This window comes from Homo sapiens, chromosome 1, assembly GCF_000001405.40.
Source record: "Homo sapiens chromosome 1, GRCh38.p14 Primary Assembly".
Classification (NCBI taxonomy): Eukaryota; Metazoa; Chordata; class Mammalia; order Primates; family Hominidae; genus Homo; species Homo sapiens.
Window position 1 is genome coordinate 182,485,696 of NC_000001.11, and position 24,684 is coordinate 182,510,379.

Consider the following 24,684-nt stretch of genomic DNA (forward strand, 5'->3'; position numbering starts at 1 on the left):
CAGATTCCTGCTCAGTCTATTGCAAGGTTAGCAAACTACAGTCTGGGAGCCAAATTCGGCTTCCCACATGTATTTGCATGGCCAGCAAGCTAGGGATGGTTTAACATTTCTTTATAGTAGGGAAAAAAATCAAAAGAAGAACATATTAGGGCACATGGATAATACATGAAATTCAAATTTTAGTGTCCATAAATAAAGTTTTATTGCAACAAAACTGTGCCCGTTTGTTTACATACTACCATGTCCTACAACTACATAGTTGAGTACTTGCAATGGACTATATAGCCCATATATCATAAAATATTTACCATCTGGCACTTCATAGAAAATGTTTGCAGAACCTTCATCTATTGCATCACACACTGCTCTGAGAAGGGGCCGGGAGGGTTTGTCAAGTGATGGACAAGCTCAATTCTAAAGAAAATCCTAATACATTCTAACGAAAAACTATTAAAACTATTATAGGGTTTTTAGATGCTGTTTTATCATATTTATTATTCATGACTATTATTTTAATGTATATCTAGTTATTTCTTTTAATTGAAAATGCTCTATTAAGCATTGTTTCTTAAGAAATAAATTTATTTATCTATTAATTATTAGGTAGAGTCATAATTTTTTTTTTTTTTTTTTGAGAAAAAGTCTCCCTCTGTTGCCCAGGCTGAAATGCAGTAGCACGATCTTGGTTCACTGCAACCTCCATCTTCCAGGTTCAGGTGATTCTTCCACCTGAACTCCCCAGTAGCTAATTTGTGGTACTCCCTGTGGGTGGCATGCGCCTCCCATAGGTGCACGCCACCATGCCCAGTTATTTTTTTATTTTTTATTTTTTGGTAGAGCTGGGGTTTCACCATGTTGCCCAGGCTGGTCTCAAACTCCTTGTCTCAAGTGATCTGCCCACGTCAGTCTCCAAAACTGCTAGGATTACAGGTGTGAGGCATGAGCCACTGTACCCAGCCTGAGTCATAAATCTTTTTTACTTATTTATTTATTTTTTGAGACGGCGTTTCATTCTTGTCGCCCAGGCTGGAGTGCAATGGTGTGATCTTAGCTCACTGCAACCTCCGCCTCCTGGGTTCAAGCAATTCTCCTGCCTCAGCCTCCCAAGTAGCTGGGATTACAGGCATGTGCCACCATGACAAGCTAATTTTGTATCTTTAGTAGAGACGGGGTTTCTCCATGTTGGTCAGGCTGGTCTTGAACTCCCAACCTCAGGTGATCCGCCTGCCTTGGCCTTCCAAAGTGCTAGGATTACAGGTGTGAGCCACCATGCCCGGCCTAGTCATAAACCTTTTAAACCAAAAGGGATGTTAATAGGGTGCTCATTTCACACATGCTTTTTTATTATTCATATTTAATATATATTTACAGTTTATTTATTAATGAGTAACATTATATTACATTACATATTGCTCGGATTCAATCACTGAACTGAATTGTCTCAGGAATACACTTCACTCAAGTTTCCCAGGAGCCAAGGAGATTTGTTAAAGCTACTAAAATTTATATCCCTAAACTCACCTTTTCGCTGCATGATTGAGGCAGCTGGCGGAGATAATCTTACATTCTTAAAAATTACTATCAACAATTCATTGCCTACAAAATAATCCCCAGATTACTCAGCAAGGCATTCAAGTCCCTCATATATAATTCCAATGCATCCCTGCTTCCTCTCTTGCCACTTCCCCATCCCTGGGCTCTTCACATGAATGCCACATTTCAGCCCACACTGAAGTACTCATGATTCCCAAACATGTTCTTTCCTATCCCGATGCCTTTGCTTAAGCTCTTTCTACTGCATGGCATGATCTTTACTCAACTTCCCTGTGGTGAGCTCCTACTTATCCTGCAAGGTGCACAGTTAGATTAAACCTCCTTACCTTTATGAATTCTTCCTGGATTTCCCTGACTGAATCAGAAGCTTTGTTAATACCTCTGTTAGAGCATGTGTTATGCTGCTGTTCACGCTGGAAGCTGAGCTCCTTATAGCGACACTTGCAGCATGTTGATCTCTATATTCCCAGCACTTTGTAAAGTGCCTGACACATAGGAGGCATTCATAAAGCATTTGTCAAATGAATGAATGAATGAAACTGAGAGTATGGGTTAATATATCTAGCTAAGCACTAACTCATAGGTTTTATTGTTGTGTGTTTGTTTGTTTTAATGTAATAAAATGTTATTCACAAAAGGGTAAGGTCTTCAAGTGGGAGATATGAGTAGACACACCAAAGAAAGATGCTTGGTTTTCAGGGCCATTTTGAGAAAAAATGAGATATTACTTTGGAACAGAATGAAATAATATGCAGATGTTAAGTAATGGTTCTGTAAATTATTTGTCATCTCTCTTCTTAAGTAAATATTTAGTGCTCTCCTCTGAGACTTAGAGAGAGGCTGTGTTAGCTGCTCTATTCAGAGATAAAAGAATGCCTCCTGGTTGGTCATAGCTAATGTTTGCTGTTCCATTAGATCTCCAAATTACAGAACCCAGAATCTTCAGCCTACTCTGCTCCCAGGTGAACATATGCAGGAAAGATGCAGCAAGCTGACCATCCACCTCATAATGCATATGCTGTGTTTGGTTTTCAGATGCTCAGTCCCTGGTATGATGAGTTTCTAGATGAAGAGGACTACTGGTTTCTCCTTTTTACGGTAGGAAGGACTTTGGGTTAGGAAGGAATCATGAGGATGAGGGAAGAAGAAAGAGTAATTACTGTTTTAAAAGGGTTATGTGTTAAAGTAAATGAAATTGTTATTTTTCCTAGAGTCAACCAAAGATCAGCATGGTCCCTGTTGTTCTAAAGCTAAACCTCTCAAGGAAAAGGACTCAGTGCATAAGATGACTTTGGTGAAACCCCGTCTCTACTAAAAATACAAAAAATTAGCCGGGCGTAGTGGCGGGCGCCTGTAGTCCCAGCTACTTGGGAGGCTGAGGCAGGAGAATGGTGTGAACCCGGGAGGCGGAGCTTGCAGTGAGCCGAGATCCCGCCACTGCACTCCAGCCTGGGCGACAGAGCGAGACTCCGTCTCAAAAAAAAAAAAAAAAAAAAAAAGATGACTTTGAAAAAGTCACAACCACAGAAAATTTCTTCCTTATAGAAAATGAGTTTGATTAGAAAAGGGTGGGGGTTGGCATGTAAAGGAGCAATGGTTCTTAACAACTGAAAACAACCTGCATAAGACCATGTAACAGGGAGGCATGGAGCACTGAGTTATTACAAAATTATTGCTTCTGGTCTAGTTCCTGTAACAAATGCCATCTTCCCCTCACCCTCTTCTCTTAGACACAGAACAGGTTCATCAGCTCCAGACAGCATAAAAGAGAATTTATAGGCAAAGAAGAGAACATTCTTCTTTATAAGAGGATTCAGCAGTCTCTAGAGTTAAGCCAGGCTTTGGCTGACATGAAGGAAATGGACTATAGGCAGTGGCGAAAGATAGCTACTGAGGACCTGAAGCAAGGAGGCTCTCTCCAGGTAGAGCTGACATCTCCAGTGTTTCTAACAGGTCAGAGCAGTCACTGTAATTTTTTTGACCTTTACATATGGGCAACTGGAAAATAATATTTAACATTTACTAATTATTTACTAAGCGTCAGCACTATGCAGTGCAGGGATTACCTAATTTGGTCATCAAAACAGCCTAAGAGGTAAGTACTAAGTAACTGAGGCACAGAGAGGATGTGACCTCCCCAGGGTCAGAGTAAGTTGCAGTCAGGATTTGAATCCAGACAGACTGACTGTAGAGCTCCCTGCTGGATCTGAGGGAGCCAGAGTGCTCAAGTGTAGCTAGACTCTGGCCCACCAAAGCATCACCATAGTTGATGCTGAATACTTCATTTCATGCATCTAATAAGCATGTTCCACCTCACCACATTTCCTCCAGAATAGGGTCCAAGCGCATTTCTGTGAACATATTTTACAGTCACCCGCTTCCCTAACATAACACACCAGCCCACCCAGGCAGTGGAGAGACATCGTTAGGAGCAAAAGGCTTTGCTGTCCCAGAAGTCTGGGGTTACACCCGTGCTCTCCTATTCACTTGTATGCTTGAGCAATGTATTTAACTTCTCTTTGAGCCCCAGTTTTCTCATCTGTAAAATGGGAATAATAACAAACTTGTGCAGGTGACCTGAGATCATCTATGAAAGCTATTAGTACAATGTTTGACAATCACTTAAGAGTTCAATACTGTAAATGTTAGTCATTATTATTCAAATTGAGCATAGTGCTTTAATTATCTATGTTGAGGCAGTTGGAATACTGCATATTTCTCAAACTTTGATCCACAATAAATACGTTTGACTTCATAATTCCTTAAATATATACCTGTGTATATGTGTGCACATATATATGAAAAAAAATTTCCAAAGCAATACTTGCCCTTATTACATAAGATGCTGTACTCCAGCATTCTTTATTCTATTATGTTTCATGTCATATAAAAGCTAACAATGTCACCATTTATTTTTTGGCATACTAGTGAGTCATGACCTACACTTTGAAAAACATGGATAAAGAGTGAGCAAAAGCTTTGAAAATTCAGTTATACCATTCATATGCACTGTGAGCTTGGGCAAGTTACTCCTTCTCTCTGAACCTAATTTCTTCATCTATTTAGTGGAGATAATGGCCCCTAATTTGTTCAGGATTAGAGGTAATGTATTTACATAGTAAGCAGGTGCTAAGTAAATGGTACTTGTTAGATTACCAAAAGAATGTAACATCCGGCTCTTTTTTAAAACTTTAATATGCACTCTGTATACAAACCAAGATGCCCTGGATGCCTGTCTGTCAGAGCCATGTTTGGGCATAAGTTATTTAAATCTAGCATGAACAGGCCCTCTTTTTTAACCATAGAGATTCCACTCTCTCTCTAAATCCTGAGGATCTTAGATTCTTTCCCAGGAATCAAGACCAAAGTAGATGAAAAGATGGCTGGTAAGTTTCACCACACATATGTTGGGCAATAGGCGTTACTTTGGTGGCTATGGGACACAAGGGATAGCCAGTAAGAATGTGAACCACCCTCCATGGAAGCTCCTTGTCCCTCTCCAAAGCACATATCATTACTTCCTCTATCACTGCTTTTTTGGAGCACAAGTCTGGCCTAATAAAGGGCCTTCTTTGCATTTGGCCAAATCAGAGCCTTGAATCTCAGGTAGGTTGGTGTCTCAAGCTGTACCCTAAACTCACAGAGTACCAGAGCTAGAACATTATCTTTTTTTTTTTTTTTTTTGAGATGGAGTGTGGTGGAACAATCACAGCTCACTGCAGCCATGACTTCCCAGACTCAAGCGAAGCTCCCACCTCAGCCTCCTAAGTTGGTGGGACTACAGGCATGCACCACCACACCCAGCTAATTTTTTTTTTTTGTAGAGATGGGTCTTGCCATGTTGCCCAGGCTAGGCTTGAACTCCTGGGCTGAAGCCATCCTCCTGTCTTGGCTTCCCAAAATGCTGGGATTAAAGGTGTGAGTGACCATGCCTAGCCTACGTATGGTACTTTTAAAAAACTGTAATTATTATTATTATTATTTGAGATGGAGTCTCGCTTTGTCTCCCAGGCTGGAGTGCAGTGGCACTGTCTTGACTCACTGCAACCTCCACCTCCCAGGTTCATGCAATTCTCCTGCCTCAGCCTCCAGAGTAGCTGGGATTACAGGCACCCGCCACCATGCCCTGCTAATTTTTGTATTTTATTAGAGACAGGGTTTCACTATGTTGGCCAGGCTGGTCTCGAGCTCCTGACCTCAAGTGATCCGCCTGTCTCAGCCTCCCAAAGTGCTGGGATTACAGGTGTGAGCCACCACACCCGACCACTATCATCTTTTATACAGGGAAACATGACTTCCAGAATGGTGAAAAGACTTGCCCAAGGTTGCTCAGCAAGGAAGGAATTGATACAGGACTAGAAACCTGGACCCACTGCAGAAATAACCCACTGCTCTTAACACTTTTGGTCAAGATTCTCCTTGATTACACATCATGGTGATGATGATGATGATGATGACTCACATTCACAGGTCCACACCCCAGTACTCTTTATAGACTCAAATAGTATAGCTTCAGAAAGTACTGAACTGCCTAGAGAGTTCCAGGAGAACTCTGTGCATTTAGATATACTCTAAATCCCAGAACTCACAACCCAAATGAATACTTCTCCTCCGTAGGAAGTAAGGTGCTACTATTCTGCTTCTGTTAACCAGATCATTGTTAAAACATCTCTTGCTATCTCAGCCTCATTGTCTCACCACATTTTGGATACAAAAAGGTATTCCCTCTCAATTCATCATGCATAACTTAAGATGATATATGGCTCTTTCTAGAAAAAAAATCCACTCCAAAGGACAATGATTTGCAACTATTGATAATATTCAGATAGGTAAGTTAATTCTGAAAGTAATTCCCAAAGTCAGAGCTGAGAAAGGGAAAACATAGCATAGCATGTTCTTTGCCATTTGTTATTCTTAGGGGCTTCAATTTTTTTTGAAGCAATAGTAGAATGTTTGAAATGCATTTGTAGTTGTGGTCTCATGCCCGCACTTCGGGAGGCCAAGGCGGGAGTATCGCTAGAATCTAGGAGTTCAAGACCAGCCTGGGCAACATGGCAAAAACCCGTCTCTGCAAAAGAACACATACATTTGCTACTCAATCCCTCAACAGATGGATGCTTTGAAGGAGTCACCATTCATTTGTATGAGTTACTTCTCATATATGAATTAAAAAATAGTAGCTCTTTCAAGTCATATCTTGGTTACCCTAGCAACCCTCAGGCAAATAATCTCCATGGGTCAGTTTTCCCTAAGAAGGAGAGGATCTTCTCATTCTGGAGGGAAGAGGAGGCTTATTTCCTTGCCTATAATTTAGCTTAGGGAACTTGTATTATTTCTGTAAACATCCCATTAAAACACTATTGGCCTCTTTAAATAACCTTTTTTTTTTTTTTGAGATGGATTCTCCCTCTGTGGCCCAGGCTGGATGGAGTGCAGTGGCCCAATCTCGGCTCACTACAAGCTCCGCCTCCCAGGTTCACACCATTCTCCTGCCTCAGCCTCCCAAGTAGCTGGGACCACAGGCGCCCGCCACCATACCCGGCTAATTTTTTTGTATTTTTAGTAGAGACAGGGTTTCACCATGTTAGTCAGGATGGTCTCAATCTCCTGACTTTGTGATCCACCCATCTCAGCCTCCCAAAGTGCTGGGATTACAAACGTGAGCCACTGCGCCCAGCATTTTAAAGGCAATACCTTCAACAAAAGTATATGAATCTTTGAACCCAGACTTTGGACAACTAAACTCTATCTCTGTTTTTCCTTACTTCACAGACATAACTAAAATGTCCTTTGAGGAGCTTTGCTACAAGAACCCAAAGATGGCCATACAGAAGATCAGTGATGACTACAAAATATACTGTGAGAAAGCACCTAAAATAGGCAAGTGTTTAAAATCAGGGATAGACGAGGCAACTAGGTTTTTTCAAATCTAAGAGAAAATCTGTAATCTTGTGTTCTTTAAGGAACATAAGCCAAAAGAGGAACCATGCTCTGTTGGAAATGGAGAGGTGGTTAGGGGGTAATGACTATGTCTTTTTTCTCCTACGAAACCACAGAAGAGCATCATGAAAATAAGATGTAATCATAAATGAATGAAGTGATGATGGTTAAGATTGTTCATTTCTACTTTCTTATCTAGTTATCACTCTGGGGTTTTAATTAATGTGAATTCTTCTTCTGTCAAGTTACCTGGAGGCTGAGATTTGTGAAGGGATGTTTGTTAAGGAGTGCTCTTGGGAATAATACCTCTAAGAGAGTGAGGAAGGCAGGATTGGGGAGAGGTAGATGCTGAACTGTGAAGCAATCACAACAGGCCTCAGCAGATGCCATAAGAAACTCTGATGCCAGGGTGGCCCTTCAGAGTTGTCCCTCAGTGAGGTAAGAAATTTAATTTGGGCTTTAGTTCTTCCACATTGATCCACGGGAGATGTGAATGCCCCTGTGAAGGATATAACCTAGGGTTTATAGCCAGGCAGTTTCCTTTGGCTGAAGCAACTTCCAGAAGGGGCCTCCTCTCTGGGCCATCAGCAGCCAACACTCAGGCATCTAGGGGAATGAGTGCTTTGGCCCTGAAGGGAGGTTCTGGGTAGTACCCAGTACCACCCACTACTGTCCATTTGCTTTGTATAGAAATTTCACCTCATCTTGGAGTAGCTCCTCCAGGAATCTGATAGTTTCTTGTCCTGGGAAACGTATTTGAGAAAGGCAGGCTCACATTACTCTACCTTATCTGAAGACCATTGCTAATATTCCTCTTCTTCCTCTCCTGCTCCCCATCCTAGATTCCTCTCATGCTCAGCTAGCACCTCTGCTGGTCTTGGGGTCTTACTAGACTCTCATCTCTGGGATACCTGAGCCCCCGGTCATCACGACTTCTCAGGCTGTGGCTGCTTCACTTGTCAACCTATCATACAAATTGGGCCAGGGAATACCAAGAGTGGCAAGTGAATTGTCCAGTATCTGCTATGTAACATGATCTTAATGATTAGGATCAATTACCCTATCAGTACAGTGACTCCTTTGCTTGCCTGCTGACTTCTTGGCATAAGGAGCTTAATGCGATTGAACAGCTACTATTTCCTCTAGTAGAAGCATTCTGCCTCCAGGAACTAAGATCTCTAGACTGGCACTGTCCATTACAGGAGCCACTAGCCCCATGTGGCCACTGAGCACTTGAAATGTGACTGGTACATGTGGGTAAATAAAACACATTGTTAAAATTAATTTCACCCTTTTCTTTTTAGCTTTTTCAATGTGACTACTAGAAAATTTTAAATTATATACGTGGCTCACATTATATTTTTATTGGACAGCACTGGTCTAGACCTACAGAACCTAAAGGTATAAAGATGACAAATTTCCCTAAGTAAGTCTCTGATACTGATGGTAAATGGAACACTTCTTTCATTCATTGGTACCTGGGCCCATTTATTCTACTACTGAAGACACACCTTATAATGGTCTTTGAATTATCCTGGAAGATGATGCCTCATTTTCCTGAGGTATCGTCATTCTCCCCTAGCATTCTGGTAGCTTCAAGCTGCTTTCACAGCTGTGCCTTCAAAAAGTGGCTCCATCACTTCATCAAGCCAGCAGCTCTCAAAGGAAATAGAACTAGTAGATCTCATCTTCGTGGGACCCATTGGCCATTGCCACACCTTCTTTGCTATAAAGTGTATCCCTTGGTCAGAGGCAATGTTATGTGAGATCCCATTGAGGGATCAATCACTTATAAGCCCCGAGGTGGTGATGCTGTCTGAGACCTTGCAGCTAAGATACATATCAGTTCCAGTCAAAATGAATTGCTGCTCTTTCCAGAATAGAAGGTGTTCAGTGTAATCAGTTTGTCACTAAGTGGCTGGCTTTTATTAGGGATGTTACTATACTGGGTACTGGGGGCTCTGCATTTGTTTCTGTTGCCAGCAACTTGAGTGTTTGGCACTCAAACATGGGGCACATGCTGTTGGTCTGTACATAGCCTCCATCCCTGCCACCTAGAACTCTGTCCATGAGCTCACTGTGCCAGCACTACAGTGGCTTATGACAGAGACTTGCTGGCATCAACTGGCAGAGTGTCATTCTGTCTGCTTGGTTGTTTAGTGCCTCTTTCATGGTAGTTGTTTTTTGGAGGGCTTTAAGATGCAATACAAAGATCTCCACATGTCATGTTTTTTCTCATAGATCCATCCACATGTGTATATTCTCAGACCATTTTGTCCCCAGTATTCTAATCTTTCTCCTTCTAAGCCCCTGGCTTACCAGCCAAACCATTCATCACTGCCCATGAGTATGTATATATTCTTATCCTGGGCTACTTCTCTTTCCACACAAACGAATGCACAGGTTCGCCGCCAAAGTTCTGCTTATGGCGTTGCAGGGGATTTTTCTCTCCCCATCATCTTTCAGGATCACCACTGATAGAGGGCTTCAGCTGTTTATTTTCACCAAGATATTGAGATGGTCCATTCATGAAACAGGTTCAGCTTTTTTCCTCTTCTGTCAGCTGGTCATCAATGTGACCAGCCATAGATGTGATGACAGTGAAGTGGCAGTGCCACAGTGGTAATGACATGGGTGTCTGGGTCACCTGCTTAGGTAGTTTCTTGTACCTTCTGACCTGCCTCATGCCTGATTCCACATGTACCATTTACATTTTATGATGAATTACTGTTGAGCCACCTATGACTGGGTGATCTTGAGTAACCCAGTTTATGACAGTATAGTAATCTATTATCACACTGCTATAAAGAAATACCTGAGGTTGGGTAATTTATAAAGAAAAGATATTTAATTTGGCTCATGGTTCCACAGGCTATACAGGAAGCATAATGCTGGCATCTGCTTGGCTTCTGGGGAGGCCTCAGAAAATTTACAGTCATGACAGAAGGTGAAGGGGGAGCCAGAACTTCTCGTGGTTGGAGCCAAAGGAAGAAACGGGGAGGTGCTACACACTTAACCAATAAGATATCATGAGAACTCACTCATGATGGTGAGGACAGTACCAAGGGGATGGTGATAATCCATTCATAAGAAACCACCCCATGAGCTAATAACCTCCCACCAGGCCCCACCTCCAACATTGGAGATTACATTTCAGCATGAGATTTGGGCAGAGACACAGATCCAAACCATATCGGATGGGTAGGTCTGTCTGTATGCTCACTTGATATCACATGGACAGGCTCTCTTACTTTACCATAGCTCAATAGCACATTGAAGTATTTTGTGAACAGTGTAGTTTTTTGCTGCAGATAACATGGCCTTACTCCAGAAATTTACGGATCTATTTCAAGATTATCCTTTTCAGGTCTGTCATAAACTCCATTGTCTTTTCCCACTACTGATACTCCTAAAACCATGAGATCTGTTGTGTTGTATGGCCTAAGTGTTAGGGCTATTTATACCAGAGCCTTAACTTGCAGCAAAAATACTTTCCCACTCTGGGTCCCCCTAACATCTGGCAGCCTTATATTTCAGAAAAGTATTTTCAAGTGTGAAATAATGCTGTTTCTAAAACATAAAGAAGTCTACCAGATTTTATGCTTCCTTCTTAGTAGTGAAAGATGCAAGATGCAATCTATGTCCTTTATTTTGGAGAGGATGTCCAAATATGCACCAGATCACACTGGATTCTAGAACCTTTCTTTACTGATATAGTGGACCCTTCAGTCTTGGTAGGATTTATTCACCTCTGGAGCATATGTGTCTTACTAAGGCCCCCAAAATGCTTAGCCTTTATTGTTTATCTTGCCCAATGTATATGATACATGTGATACAATGTATATGATACTATTGATAATGTGGACTAATGTAATATTCTGCAGAGTAGATGATTTGGGGCCCATTGAATTACATTATGTCAGAGGATAGAAAAGTTAATATAATAATGGCAAGACAGTAAATATATATGCTGTCCATCCTACATCAATGTGAACTGCTTCTTGTCCTTCTTTATGATAGGAATGAAAAAGAGATAGAAAGATAGATAGATAGATAGATAGATAATAGACTGTGTGTATGTGTGTGTGTGTGCATGTGTGTGTGTGTCTGTGTATCTTTTTCAGGAGATATATATATTATATATATATATTTTTATATCTCCTGATATAAAAATATATATATATCTGTCAGGAGATATATATTTTTTTCAGGAGACAGATATATTATATATCTGAAAATAAAAATTGCTATTTTCTCTTGAAAATAACAACTAACTTATAGAAAAAAAAGTACAGGAAAAAAATCCTTTATTGAACCACTTGACAGTAGCTGTCAACCTAATGCCCCACCATCCTCAAATAATTCAGTGTATACTTTCAACAAACAAGGACATTCTCCCACAAAGCCACAATACAATGATCAGAATCAGGAAATTAACACTGATACATTACTACCACTTAATTTTCAGACCAAATTCAATATTTATTGAATGTCATCTTACTCAGATTTTCTTTGACTTTTATATCCTTGACACTTTTGAAGATTCCAAGTCTATTTTTACAGAGGTCCCTTCATTTTTGTTTGATGTTTTCTCATGATTAGGTTCAGGTTATGCATTCAGGTTATTCAGAAATATCATTGCAGTTCTTTTCACTGCAGCAAGTGGTGCACGATTTTGCTTTGTTCCATTACTGATGATGTTCCCACCCCTCTTTTTGTAGAAATGGGGTCTCACTATGTTCTCCAGGCTGTTTTTGAACTCCTGGCCTCAAGAGATCTTGCCTTGACCTCCCAGAGCACTGAGATTATAGGCATCGATCTTCCCTTTGATCATTTGGTTAATGTGGTACCTGCCAGGATTCTTTGTTATAAATTTATTATTTTTCCTTTCATGATTAATAAGTATTGTGGGGGGTGTACTTTAAAATTATGTAAATATCTCATTCTTACACTCTTAATTCATTAATTTATATGAACTCTTTTTTTTATTCAATGGGTTATAATTCATTACTGTGATTATTTTGGTGCTCAAATATTCCCCAGTTTGGTAAGTGGCACCCATTTCAAGCTGGCTTATGTCTCGTTTTGGAATGTCTCTTGAGCATGCTCTTGCTTTTTTGTATATGCCTCCCAGGTGCATCTTCTACTTTCCCTGTCTAGCTCTAGAATCAGTCGTTTATTTGAAGAGCCTCATTCCTTTTCTTAGAGAATGATGCTTAAAAGCCAAAATCAAGAAACTAGATTAACTCATTGCTATTGGAGTGTCACTGCAATCAGATCTTATTAGTGGTTCGAGCTAAAGAATGTGTGTGTCCCAGAGATTCTGATATGTTGTATCTTTGTTCTCCTGGGTTTCAAAGAATTTCTTGATTTCTGCCTCAATTTTATTGTTTACTCAGAAGTCATTCAGGAGCAGATTGTTTAGTTTCCAAGTAATTGTATGGTTTTGAGTGATCTTTTTAGTGATTTTCTTAGTGATTTCTATTTTTATTGTGCCATGGGCCAACAGTGTGGTTGGTTTAAATTCAGTTTTTTGTTTTTTATTTTTAATTTGCTGAGTTGTTCTATGGCTGATTATGTGACCAACTTTTCTTTTTCCTTTGTTTGTTTGTTTTTTTTTGAGACAGAGTCTTGCTCTTGTTGCCCAGCCCGGAGTGCAATGGCACGATCTTGGCTCACTGCAACCTCCACCTCCTGGGTTCAAGCGATTCTCCTGCCTCAGCCTCCTGAAGAACAGGGATTACAGGCACCCGCCACCACACTTGGCTAATTTTTGTATTTTTAGTAGAGATGGGGTTTCACAATGTTGGCCAGGCTGGTCTCGAACTCCTGACCTCAGGTGATCTTCCTGCCTCAACCTCCCAAAGTGCTGGGATTACAGGCGCGAGCCCCGGCACCTGGCTCTTATGTGGCCAATTTTAGAGTATGTGCCATGTGCAGATAAGAAGAATGTATGTTCTGTTGTTTTGGGGTGAAGATTTCTGTAGATGCCAGTTAGGTCCATTTGGGTCAAGTGTTGTGTTCAGGTCTGGAATACCTTTGTTAGTTTTCTGCCTCAAAGTTCTAATACCATCAGTGGGGTGTTGAAGTCTCCCACTGTTATTGTGTGATTGTCTAAGTCTCTTCGCAGGTCTCTAAGAACTTGTTTTATGATCCTGGGAGCTCCTGTATTGGGTGCATACATATATATTTAGGATAGTTAAGTCTTGTTTAATTGAACCTTTACCATTATGTGATGCCTTTATTTGTCTTTTTTGATTGTTGTTGATTTAAAGACTGTTTTGTTTGAAATTAGAATAGCAACCTCTGCCTTTTTTGTTTGTTTTCCATTTGCTTGGTAGATTTTTCTCCATCTCTTTACTTTGAGCCTGTGGGTGTCATTGCATGTGAGATGAATCTCTTGAAGATAGTAACAGTTGGGTCTTGCTTTTTTATCCAGCCTGCCACTCTGTGCCTTTTAATTGGGACATTTAGCCCATTTACATTCAAGGTTAATATTGATAGGTGTGGATTTGATTCTGTCCTCATTAGCTGGTTATTATGCAGACTTGATTTTGTAGTTGCCTTATAGTGTCAATGGCCTATGTACTTAAGTGTGCTTTTGTGGTAGTCAATAACAGTCTTTCATTTCCATATTTAGCACTCCCTTAAGGACCTCTTGTAAGGCAGGTCTGGTGGCAACAAATTCTCTTAGCATTTGCTTGTCTGAAAAGTTAGATACTAGATTTTTACCAGATACATGATTTGCAAATATTTACTTCCATTCTGTGGGCTGTATTTTCACTATGTTGATAATGTTCTTTGATGCACAAAAGTTTTCAATTTTGGTGAAGTCCAATTTGTGTTTTCTTTCATTTTTTGCTCGTGCTTTTAGTGTCATATTTAAAAATGTTTGCCAAATCCGTGGTCTTGAAGGTTTACCTCTTTGTTTTATCCAAGAGCTTTAAGGTATTAGCATCTACACTTAAGTTTGTTATTCATTTTGAGTTAATTTTTTTGTGTGGTGTGAGGAAAGAGTTTAACTTCATTCTTTTGTGGTTGAATAGCCAACTGATCCAGCACCATTTGTTGAAGAGACTCTTCTTTCCCCCCATTGAACGGTGTAGACATGCTAGTCAAAAATAAATTGACTGTACATGTATGTTTTTATTTTTGGAATCAAAATTCAATTCCATTGATCTCTAAGTTTATTTTTATACTAGTGCCACTATTTTGATAACTGTGTTTTATAGTAAGTTTTAAAATCAGGAGATGTGAGTCCTTCAATTTTATTTTTTCAAGGTCGTTTTTGCTATTTGGGATAGCTTGCAATTCTATGTGAGTTTTTGGACCAACTTTTCCATTTTTTCAAAAAATAATCATCGGGGTTTGAATTGAGATTGTACTGAATCTATAGATCATTTTGGGTAGCATCGCCATATTCAATCTTCCAATTTATGAACACAGGATATATTTTTCTTTAAGTCTTCTTTAATTTCTCTCAGCAATACTTTGTAATTTTTAGTTTACAAGTTTTACATTTTCATGATTACATTTATAAGTATTTAATTCTTTCTGATGCTATTGTAAGTGGAACTATTTTTATTTCATTTCAGATTGTTCATTGTGAGTATATAGAAATACAACTGATTATTGCATATTGAATTTGTATCCTAAAACTTTGCTGAATTTGTTTACTAGGTTTAATAGTATTTTGTGGATTCTTTAGAATTTTCTGTACATTAGATTGTGTCACGTGTCACCTCTGAATAAAATAGCTTTGCTTGTTCCTTCCCAATGTGGACATTTTTCTTTTCTTTTCTTGCATAAGTGCTCTGGCTAGAACTTCCAGTACAATGCTAAATAAAAACAGTGAAAGAAGGCATGCTTGTCTTCTTCCTGAGCTGAGGGGCAAAGCTTTCAGTCTTTCACCATTGACTATAATGTTTCCTGTGACTTTGCCTTTTATCATGTTGAGGATGTTCTCTTCTATTTCTAGTTTGTTGGATAATTTTTATGATGAAAGAATGTTGGATTTTGTCAAATCCTTTTTCTCTGTCAATTGAGATGATTTTCGTCCTTCCTTTCTCTCTTTCTCTCTTTCTTTCTTTTTTTTCTTTTCTTTTCTTTTTTCTTTTCTTTTTTTTTTTTTTTTTTTTTTTTTTTTTTGAGACAGAGTCTTGCTCTGTCGCCCAGGCTGGAGTGCAGTGGTGCATCTTGGCTCACTGCAATCTCCATCTCCCAGGTTCAAGCAATTCTCCTCCCTCAGCCTCCCGAATAGCTGGGATTACAGGTGTGTACCATTACGCCTGGCTAATTTTTGAATTTTTATTAGAGACGGGGTTTCACCATGTTGTCTAGGATGGTCTTGAACTCCTGACCTCAAGTGGTCCTCCTGCCTCTGCCTCCAAGAATGCTGGGATTACAGACGTGAGCCGCTACGCCCCGCCTTGATGTGTAACCTCCTTAATATTCTACTGGATTTGATATGTTCACGTTGTATTGAGGATTTTTGCATCTATATCCATAAGGAATGTTGGTCCATAGCTTTCGTGGGTTGTCTTTGTCTGATTTATTATTAGGATCATGCTGACCTCAGAATGAGTTAGGAAGCATCTCCTCCTCTTCAATATTTTGGCCGAGTTTAAGAAGAATTGATGTTAATTCTTGAAATGTTATGTAGAATTTACCAGTGAAGTCATCAGGTCCTGAGCTTTTCTTTGTTGGGTGGTTCTTGATTATTGGTTCAATCTCCCATTCAAACTGTTATTTTTTCTTGAGTCAGTTTTAGAAGTTTGTGCATTTTTTGAACTTTGTTTATCTAGATTACCTAATTTGTTGCCATAAAATTGTTTATAGTAGTTCTCTTGTAATCCTTTTTATTTCTGTAAGTTTGGTAGTAATGTCTTCACTTTTATTTCTGATGTTAATAATTTAATTCTTTTCCCTTTTTTTCTCGATAAGTCTAGCTAAATGTTTGCCAATTTTGTTATCTTTTCAAAAGAAAAAGCTGTTGTTTTTGTTGACGGTCTCTATTGCTCTCAGAAAGTAGATGCTTCTACTCCCTATTTTGTCTGTTTCCACTCTAGTCTTTATTATTCCTTTCTTCTACTGGTTTTAGATTTAGCTTGGCTGGGTGCAGTGGCTCATACCTGTAATCCCAGCACTTTGGAGGCCGAGGCAGGATACCTTGAACCTAGGAGTTTGAGAGCAGTCTGAGCACATAATGAGACCCTGTCTCTACAAAAAATTAAAAAATTAACCAGGCACAATGGCACATGCCTGTAGTCCCAGCTACTTGTGAGGCTGGGGTGGGAGGATTGCTTGAGCCTAGGAAGCTGAGGCTGCAGTGACCTATGATCATGCCACAGTACTCCAGCCTGGACAACAGAGTTAGACCCCATCTCTAAAAAACAACAACAAAAACAGATTTAGCATGCTGTTCTTTATCTAGTTCCGAATCTGGAAGGCTAGATTATTTACTTGGTATCCTCTTTTTTAATATCTGCATTTATAAGTTTCTTTTTGAGCAGTGTTTTCACTGCATCCCATAGGTTTTGGCATGTGATGTTTTTATTTTCCTTTAGCTGAAAATTAATGTTTTGAGCTAAAGGAAATTAATGTTTTAATATACGCATTTGTAGGTTTCTTTTTGAGCAGTGTTTTCACTGCATCCCATAGGTTTTGGCATGTAATGTTTTTATTTTCCTTTAGCTCAAAATTAATGTACTTTTCAAGGTGCCCAACCTCATTGATCAGAGAAATGCAGATTGAAACTACAATGTGATGTCATCTCACCCCAGTTAAAATGGCTTATATCCAAAAGACAGGCAATAACAAATGCTGGCAAGGATGTGGAGAAAAGGAAACCCTGGCACACTGTTGGTGGGAATGTAAATTAGTACAACCACTATGGAGAACAATTTGGAGATTCCTCAAAAAACTAAAAATAGAGCTATCATATGATCCAGCAACCCCACTGCTAGGTATACCCAAAAGAAAGGAAATCAGTTATCGAAGAGTTATCTGCACTCCCATGTTTGTTGCAGCACTGTTCATGATAGCCAAGATTTGGAAGCAACCTACACGTCCATCTTGATGCAAGATTTGCTTCTAAATCTTGGCTATCATGAACAGCATCAAGATGGACATGGATAAAGAAATGGATCCAGATGAATTGATAAAGAAAATGTGCTCCTATACACAATGGAATACTATTCAGCCATAAAAAGAATGAGATTCAATCATGTGCAACAACATGGATGGAACTGGAGGTCATTATGTTAAGTGAAATAAGCCAGGCACAGAAAGACAAACATCGCGTGTTCTCACATATTTGTGGGATCTAAAAATCAAAACAATTGAACCCATGGAGAAAGAGAGTAGAAGGATGGTTACCAGCGGCTAGGAAGGGTAATTGTGGGGTGGGGGGAGGGTGGGTTGTGTAGGGTGGTGAGGGGGAGTTAAGGATAGTTAATAGGTATAAAAAAGTAGTTTGAAAGAATAAAGCCTAGTATTTGATAGCACAACAGAGTGGCTATTATCAATAATAATTTAATCGTACATTTTTAAATAACTAAAAGAACATAATTGGATTGTTTGTAACACAAAGGATAAATGCTTGAGTGGATGGATACTCCATCTTTCATGATGTAATAATTATGTATTGCATGCCTGTATCAAAACATCTTATGTATCCCATAAATATATACACCTAAGTACCCACAAAAATTAAAAGTTTTTTAAAAAACAAAGTTATCATGCTTTTCAGCCCCCAAATTTTTATTTGGTCCCTTTTGTAATTTCTTTTTTTTTTTTTTTTTTTTTTTTGAGACAGAGTCTCACTCTGTCACCCAGGCTGGAATGCAGTGGTGGAATCTTGGCTCACTGCAACCTCTGCCTCCCGGGTTCAAGCGATTCCCCTGCCTCAGCCTCCTGAGTAGCTGGGACTACAGGTACACACCACCATGTGCAGCTAATTTTTGTATTTTTAGTAGAGACGGGGTTTCACCATGTTGGCCAGACTGGTCTCGAACTCCTGACCTCAGGTGATCCGCTCGCCTACAGCCTCCCAAAGTGCTGGGATTACAGGTGTGAGTCACCATGCCCGGCCAGTTTCTCTTTATTGGTACTCTCTTTCGGTTAGACATAATTCTCCCGGGTTTTTGTAACTTTCTTTGCTCATGGTTTCCTTTAGCTCTTTGAGCATATCTGAGACAATTGATTTAAAGACTAGTAAGTACAATGGCTGGACTTCTCATGGACAATTTCCATTGGTTCTTTTTTCCTGTGAATGAGCCATACTTTTTTTTTTTTTTTTTTTTTTTTTTTGCATACCTCATAGTTTTTTTGTAGAAGACTGGACTTTTTAATATTATAATGTAGCAACTATGGAAATTAGATTCTCCCAAGGAAATTAGAAACTCCCCAGGATTTGTTGTTCTGCCTTTGGGGTTGGTGTTGTTTGTTTATTTAGTGACTTTTCTCAACTATTTTTGTAAAGTCTGTATTCTTCATCATATGTGGCCACTGAAGTCTTAGTTCTGTTAGCCTGTGGTCATATAGAGTTTTGACAGTTTCCTTAAATTCTTGGAGCCAAAAAAGAAAACAAAAGAAGAATAAAATAAATTACCGGTCTTTGTAGATTGGCTCTGTGTTGGGATGCTCTTTCAACACTTAGCTAGCTAGACCACTTATATAACTCTTCTTTAGCCTTCACTCCTCGCTTGCCTGGAAACTAAATTTCAGCCAGAGGTGAAAGTTTTGGGTCTTCTAATGCCTTTTCTGAGCATACATCCAGTTCTAGGTATGTATATGGACTTCCTGATTCTCTGGTATACATACAAGCTTTGAAAACCCTTATTACCCCATATGTATCCTTCCCCAACTTCATCTTTTCCCAGCTTTTTGGTCTGTCAAATGCTATCCCAACTGTTGTCCCTAGGCCCAAGCTGTGGTGGTCAATACTTGTATCCTTAAATTCTTTTAGTAATTTCACTTGGGAAGCCTCCCCATCCTTGGAAACACTCCAAGTATGGCAAAATAAAGGCTAGTCCTTGTGTCAGTTGTTCAGGGAGCCAGATAACTTTAGGTCAAAACAAACAACCACAATTTTTTGAAAATAAGATTCATATTTCACCTTCTGGCACTAGCAACCTGCATTACAATATGGGCTGCTGTCATCATGGCCACCACTGATGTGGAGATTGGTGGTGGGGGTATGTGGACAATTTAAAATGCCACACTTTCTTTACCACAATGCATCCTCATCTTTCTTCACCAAGACTTTCCCTAGTTGTCATAAATTCTTGACTAGATTCAAGAATTCTCCAAAGCTCTGATTCTCACCATTTTTGTCGTATCCTTAGTTGCTTTTGTGGAGGGTTGAATTCTGAGAGCTCCCTCCTTTGCCATTTTCTGTGTCATCATTTCCTACTATATCTTTTAATCCATGGATTTGGCATATTCCTCCATTTATTCATGTATTCATTAATTTGTATTTAAAACTAATAATTTTTATAGTTTTCCACTTAATATTATTATATCTCTCCATTATATTTATTTCTAGACCTTTGATGTTTTCTGATGCACTTATGTTTTCTGATGTACTTGTAAATTTTTAAAGTTTTATTTTTAACTTTGTCTGGCATATAGAAATATAATCGATTTTTATGTAATAAACCAGTATTTCAAAACTTTACTGAATTAGCTAATTCTACAAGTTCATCTGCAAATTCCTTTGATACACACAATTATGTCCTCTGTGAATAAAGAGTTTCATTTTTTAAGATATTTATATATTTGATTTTCCTTTATTACCTTATTGCTCTTACTAGGTCTTCCATTACCTAGATAGATGTGGCATTACATTGAGACACCCTTGCCTCAGTCTCAATCTCAATTTAATCACAGATTTAATCTCTTCAAAATATATAGGACTGCTTAGATTTTCTATTTCTTTTTATGCCATTTTAGTATGTTGTATATTTTAGGAATTTGGCAATTTCATTTGACATTTCAAATATGTTGACATGAAGTTGTTTGTGATACTCTCATTATATTTAAATGTCTATAAGACATGTAATGTTGAGTGCAGTATTCTGTATATGTTAGTTAGGTGTATTTGGCTAAGCACATTCACATTTTCTGTATTTTTACGATAGTTGTGGTTTTCATTGCTATCAGTTAAAAGAGACATTACTAATCTCCCACTCTGGATTTTTTCATTTATCTTTTTAGTACTTTCAATTTTTGCTTTATTTGAGTCTACATTGTTAGATGCAAGCAAATATGGAATTATAGATTCCTGCTAGAATAATTCTTTTTCTCTAATAACACTTCCTGCTTTATAGTCTTTGTCTCCATTTTGATAGTCATTACCTTTTATCCCATCTTTTTATTCTTTAATATCCCTTTGTTCTCATATTTAAGCTAAGCCCCTTTTAAGTCTAATCTTATTTCTTATATTTTTGTTTCCATTTAAATCCAATCTGACAATTGCCTTTTAGTAAGCATATTTAGTCCACTTACATTTGATATGATTACTTATACATTGGGTTTAAAATGCTACCTTACCATTTTAAGTCTTTTTTTAACTGCTGCTGTAATAGATGTACATAGTTTCAGGGTACATGTGACAATTAAACACATTCACATAATTTGTAAAGATAAAATTAGTATACTTGGGATATCCATCACCCTAAATATTTGTTTTTCCTTGCACTGGAACAATTAACATTCTTCTCTTCTAGCTAGCTTGAAATATACAATAGATTGTTGTAAGCTATATTGCTATATTCACCCTGCTCACCTTTCTTTTTTTTTTTTTTTTTTTTTTTGTGACAGAGTTTCACTTTTATTGCCCAGGCTGGAGTGCAATGGCACGATTTTGGCTCACCGCAAACTCCACCTCCCGGGTTCAAGCAATTCTCCTGCCTCAGCCTCCTAAGTAGCTGAGATTACAAGCATGTGCCACCATGCCTGGCTAATTTTGTATTTTTAGTAGAGACGGGGTTTCTCCATGTTGGTCAGGCTGGTCTCGAACTCCCGACCTCAGGTGATCTGACTGCCTCAGTCTCCCAAAGTGCTGGGATTACAGGTATGAGCCACTGTGCCTGGCCTCACTCTGCTCATCTTTCTAACACTAGGTCTTATTTCTTCTATCAATCAAACCATATATTTATACTCATTAATCAATATCTTTCTTTCTTCCTTCCCCCTAACCTTTGCAGCCTTTGGTAACCACCAATCATACTCCTTGTCTTCATGAAATCCCTTTTTAAGCTCCCACATATGAGTAAGAACATGTGATATTTGTCTTTCTGTGCTTGGCTTATTTCACGTAACATAGTGACCACCAGTTTCATTCATGTTGCTGCAAAAGACAGGATTTCATTCTTTTTTGTGGCTGGATAATATTCCATTGTGTATATGTACCATGTTTTCTTTATCCATTCATCTTTTGATGATTACTTAGGTTGATCTCATATCTTGGCTATTGTGAATAGTACTACAATGAACATGGGAGTGCAGATTTTTTTTTTTTCTTTTTTGGGACAGGGTCTGTCTCTGTCACTCAGGCTGGAATGCAGTGGTGCAATCATGGCTCACTGCAGCCTTGACCTCTTGGACTCAAGCAATCCTTCCACCTCAGCCTCCTCAAGTAGTTGGGACCACAGGCACATGCCACCACACCCAGCTAATTATTTTATTGTTTTAGAGACGGGGTTTTGGCATGTTGCCCAGGCTGATCTCGAACTCCCGGGCTCAAACAATCCACCCACTTCAGCCTCTCAACATGCTGATAGTGTGAGCCACCATGCCCAGCCCAGATGTTTTTTTGATATGTTGATTTTCTTTCTTTAAACTATATACCCAGTAATAGAATTGCTGTGTTACATGGTAGTTCTATTTTTAATTTTCCGAGAAACCTCCATACTATTTTTCATACTGGCTGTACTAATTTACATTCCTACCGACAATGTGCAGGTATTTTCCTTTTTACACAACCTCACCAGCATCGTTTATTCCATCTTTTTGATAAAAAGCCATTTTAACTAGGACGAGATCATATCGCATTGTAATTTTGTTGGTGGTGGTGATGGTTGTTGGTGGTGGTGGTGTTTTTTTTTTTTTTTTTTTTTTTTTGAGATGGAGTTTCACTCTTTGTTGCCCAGGCTGGAGTGCAATGGGGTGATTTCGGCCCACTGCAACCTCCGCCTCCCGGGTTCAAGTGATTCTCCTGCCTCAGCCTCCTGAATAGCTGGGATTATAGGTGCCTGCCACCACACCCAGCTAGTTTTGTATTTTTAGTAGAGATGAGGTTTCGCCATGTTGGTCAGGCTGGTCTTGAACTCCTGACCTCAGGTGATCCACCCGCCTCAGCCTCCCAAAGTGCTGGGATTACAGGCGTGAGCCACTGCACCCGGCTCTCATAGTTTTGATTTGCATTTCTCTGATGATTAGTGATGTTGAGCATTTTTTCATATACCTATTGACTATTTGTTTTTTTTTTTTTTTTTTTTAATTTATTTTTTTATTGATAATTCTTGGGTGTTTCTCACAGAGGGGGATTTGGCAGGGTCATGGGACAATAGTGGAGGGAAGGCCAGCAGATAAACAAGTGAACAAAGGTCTCTGGTTTTCCTAGGCAGAGGACCCTGCGGCCTTCCGCAGTGTTTGTGTCCCTGATTACTTGAGATTAGGGATTGGTGATGACTCTTAACGAGCATGCTGCCTTCAAGCATCTGTTTAACAAAGCACATCTTGCACCGCCCTTAATCCATTTAACCCTGAGTGGACACAGCACATGTTTCAGAGAGCACAGGGTTGGGGGTAAGGTCACAGATCAACAGGATCCCAAGGCAGAAGAATTTTTCTTAGTGCAGAACAAAATGAAAAGTCTCCCATGTCTACTTCTTTCTACACAGACACGGCAACCATCCGATTTCTCAATCTTTTCCCCACCTTTCCCGCCTTTCTATTCCACAAAGCCGCCATTGTCATCCTGGCCCGTTCTCAATGAGCTGTTGGGCACACCTCCCAGACGGGGTGGTGGCCGGGCAGAGGGGCTCCTCACTTCCCAGTAGGGGCGGCCGGGCAGAGGCGCCCCTCACCTCCCGGACGGGGCGGCTGGCCGGGCAGGGGGCTGACCCCCCACCTCCCTCCCGGACGGGGCGGCTGGCCGGGCAGAGGGGCTCCTCACTTCCCAGTAGGGGCGGCCGGGCAGAGGCGCCCCTCACCTCCCAGACGGGGCGGCTGGCCGGGCAGAGGGCTGACCCCCCCACCTCCCTCCCGGACGGGGCGGCTGGCCAGGCGGGGGGCTGACCCCCCCACCTCCCTCCCGGACGGGGCAGCTGGCCGGGTGGGGGGGCTGACGCCCCCATCTCCCTCCCGGACGGGGTGGCTGGCCAGGCTGAGGGGCTCCTCACTTCCCAGTAGGGGCGGCTGGGCAGAGGCGCCCCTCACCTCCCGGACGGGGCGGCTGGCCGGGCGGGGGGCTGAACCCCCCACCTCCCTCCCGGACGGCACGGCTGGCCGGGCGGGGGGCTGACCCCCCCACCTCCCTCCCGGATGGCACGGCTGGCCGGGTGGGGGGGCTGACCCCCCACCTCCCTCCCGGATGGGGCGGCTGGCCGGGCGGGGGGCTGACCCCCCCCCACCTCCCTCCCGGACGGGGTGGCTGCCGGGCGGAGACGCTCCTCACTTCCCAGATGGGGTGGCTGCCGGGCGGAGAGGCTCCTCACTTCTCAGACGGGGTGGTTGCCAGGCAGAGGGTCTCCTCACTTCTCAGACAGGGCGGCCGGGCAGAGACGCTCCTCACCTCCCAGACGGGGTCTCGGCCGGGCAGAGGCGCTCCTCACATCCCAGATGGGGCGGCGGGGCAGAGGCGCTCCCCACATCTCAGACGATGGGCGGCCGGGCAGAGACGCTCCTCACTTCCTAGATGTGATGGCGGCTGGGAAGAGGCGCTCCTCATTTCCTAGATGGGATGGCGGCCGGGCGCAGACGCTCCTCACTTTCCAGACTGGGCAGCCAGGCAGAGGGTCTCCTCACATCCCAGACGATGGGCGGCCAGGCAGAGACACTCCTCACTTCCCAGACGGGGTGGCGGCCGGGCAGAGGCTGCAATCTCGGCACTTTGGGAGGCCAAGGCAGGCGGCTGGGAGGTGTAGGTTGTAGTGAGCCGAGATCACGCCACTGCACTCCAGC

At 40.9% G+C, this 24,684-nt stretch overlaps 1 protein-coding gene across 15 annotated transcripts in view; it reads left to right on the plus strand.

Annotated features, from left to right (window-relative positions):
* Positions 1-24,684, plus strand: part of RGSL1 (regulator of G protein signaling like 1) — a 112,721-nt gene that overhangs the window by 37,819 nt on the left and 50,218 nt on the right. For 14 of the 15 annotated variants that reach the window (XM_017001193.3, XM_017001191.1, XM_017001192.3 and 11 more), the window contains 3 exons: positions 2,590-2,652; positions 3,285-3,507; positions 7,327-7,434. In XM_017001193.3, coding sequence (XP_016856682.1) covers positions 2,590-2,652; positions 3,285-3,507; positions 7,327-7,434 — 394 coding nt within the window. Of the gene's footprint in view, positions 1-2,589; positions 2,653-2,765; positions 2,849-3,284; positions 3,508-7,326; positions 7,435-24,684 lie in introns of those variants that run through there. The other variant, XM_047419642.1, reaches the window with a different exon arrangement.